A 2878-nucleotide genomic window follows, 5' to 3' on the forward strand; every position below is an offset into this window, starting at 1 on the left:
ACCCAGTCTCAACTAAAAATACAAAAAATTAGCCGGGTGTGGTGGTAGACACCTGTAATCCCAGCTACTCAGGAGGCTGAAGCAGGAGAATCACTTGAACCTGGGAGGCGGAGGTTGCAGTGAGCCAAGATTGCGACATTTTACTCCAGCCGGGGTGACAGTGCTAGACTCCGTCTCAAAAAAAAAAAAGTGCCTGCTCTCCTTTTCTCTTCCTCTTCCTCTCCCTCTTCCTCTCCTTCTCCTTCTCTTCTCCTCCTTCTCCTTTTTGTCATCGTTGTCATCAGACAGGTAATGTGCCAATGCTGTAAAAAGGTGGCACATCTCATACTTGTGCGTGAACACCCAATCATCATGCATATGACCCACAAAAGGATCGTGCATGCTATTATTATTGCTGTTATTACTAGGTATTTTCACTTTTTTGCTAATATTATTATTATTATTATTTGAGACGGACTCTCGCTCTGTCGCCCAGGCTGGACCCGCAGTGGCGCTATCTTGGCTCACTGCAAGCTCCGCCTCCTGGGTTCACACCATTCTCCTGCCTCAGCCTCCTGAGTAGCTGGGACTACAGGCGCCTGCCACCACGCCCGGCTAATTTTTTTGTATTTTTAGTAGAGACGGGGTTTCACCGTGTTAGCCAGGATGGTCTTGATCTTCTGACCTCGTGATCTGCCCACCTCGGCCTCCCAAGGTGCTGGGATTACAGGCGTGAGCCACTGCACCCGGCCAATATTATTATATCATATTATTGATGTTTTCTTGGCACTTTTTCCATTTTCTTTTCATTTTTGAGACAGGTTTTCACTCTGTTGCACAGGTTTGAGTGCAGTAGCATGATCACAGCTCACTGCAGCCTCAAACTCCTGGGCTCAAGCAATCCTCCTGCCACAGCCTCCTGAGTATCTAGGACTACAGGAGTGTGCCATCATACCTGGCTAATTTAAAAAATTTTTTGTAGAGGCAGAGTCATGTTATGTTGCCCATGCTGCTCTCAAAGTCCTGGCTTTAAGTGATCCTCCCACCTTGACCTCCCAAAGCACCATCTTCTTTTTTATTAAAAAATATGGCTGGGCGAGGTGACTCACGCCTGTAATCACAGCACTTTGGGAGGCCAAGGCAGGTGGATTGCTTGAGCCCAGGAGTTTGAGACCAGCCTGGACAACATGGTGAAACCCCGTTTCCACACATACACAAAAATCCCCAAAAATTAGCCGGGTGGGGTGATGCACGCCTGCAGTCCCAGCTTCTCAGGAAGCTGAGGTGGGAGGATCTCTTTGAGCCCTGGAGGCCGAGGCTGCAGTGAGCTGAGATTGTGCCACTGCACTTCGGCCTGGACGACAGAGCGAGACCCTGTCTCTTTAAAAACAAACAAACAAACAAACAAACAAAAAACGGACATGGTGGTTCATGCCTGTAATCCCAGCACTTTGTCAGGCCGAGGGGGGCAGATCACCTGAGGTGAGGAGTTCGAGACCAGCCTGGCCAACGTGGTGAAACCCCATCTCTACTAAAAATACAAAAAATTAGCCAGGTGTGGTGGCATGTGCCTGTAGTCCCAGCTACTCGGGAGGCTGAGACAGGAGAATCACTTGAACCTGGGAGGCGGAGGTTGCAGTGTGCCAGCCTGGGTGACAAGGGCAAAACTCCATCACAAAAAAAAAAAAAAAAAAAGTGGCTCATGCCTATAATCCCAACACTTGGGGAAGTAGAGGCAGGAGGACACCTTGAGCCCAGAAGTTTGATATCGGCCTAGGCAAGATAGGAAAATCCTTTCTCTATTAGAAAACAAACAAAGAAACAAATAAAACACTACTTGCCTGTTTTTGTTTGTTTGTTTTGTGAGACGGAGTCCCAGTTGCTCAGGAGGCTGAGGCACGAGAATCAGTTGAACCCGGGAGGTGGAGGTTGCAGTAAGCCTAGATCGCACCACTGCACTCCAGCCTGGGTGACAGAGTGAGACTCCATTTCAAAACAACAACAACAACAACGACAAAAAAATAAAAACAAAAACAAAGAGTGTCCTTTGTGAAGCTGTGAAAAGTATTAATTTTGTTAAATCTCAACCCTTGAGTGAACATCTTTTGAAAATTCTGTCTAACAAAATGGGAAGTATGGGCAAAGTGCTTTTGCTCCCTACCAAAGTCTGGTTGTTTGGAAGAAAAGCACTTGTGTTATTTAGACACAAACGGAACTAGCCAATTTTTTTCCAGTGAACGCATTTTTTACTTGAAAGTATAATGAACTATGTTTATTGAGTCTTGAGTATTAGGCAGACAGTTTTACAAAAATAAACAAAGTAAGCCTGTCGCTTCAAGGAAAGCAACTTAACATTATTTGTTGGCAATGATAAAGTTAGAACTTTCAAGCAAAATAGAATTTTGTACCTGCCACCCAAGCTTGACCGTTTCCCAATACTTAAAGACTTTTCTGATGAGACTGGTGGTGATATTAAAGAATGTTATTTTAAAAACGTTGTACAGTGAAATGTGGCAACATTTGCAAGCTCTGCATAGCTCAGTGATCCAATGTTTTCCAAATGACCAATTCATTATGGATACAAAATCATGCATGGGTAAAAAAATCCAATCAAAGTGCAAGATAGATTTTCATATAACCCAGAGTGGAAAAGGCTTATTGATATAGTTTCAGATTTTACATTGCAGCTAATGTTTAAGAAACAAATATTTCAGCCTGGGCAACATTGGGAGATGCTGTCTCTACAATTTTTTTTTTTTTTTTTCAATTTAGCCAGGTGTGATGGCACCTCCTTGTAGTCTCAAGTACTCAGGAGGCTGAGGTGGAAGGATCGCTTGAGCTCAGGAGGTCAAGGCTGCAGTGAGCTATGATTGTACCACTGCCCTACGCACTCCAGCCT

At 44.8% G+C, this 2878-nt stretch overlaps 1 pseudogene; it reads right to left on the minus strand.

The window, feature by feature from the left end:
* Positions 1-278: 278 nt before the first annotated feature.
* On the minus strand, positions 279-374 carry LOC124903112 (uncharacterized; annotated as a pseudogene).
* Between the last annotated feature and the right edge of the window lie 2504 nt (positions 375-2878).

Source organism: Homo sapiens, chromosome 12, assembly GCF_000001405.40.
Source record: "Homo sapiens chromosome 12, GRCh38.p14 Primary Assembly".
NCBI lineage: Eukaryota > Metazoa > Chordata > Mammalia > Primates > Hominidae > Homo > Homo sapiens.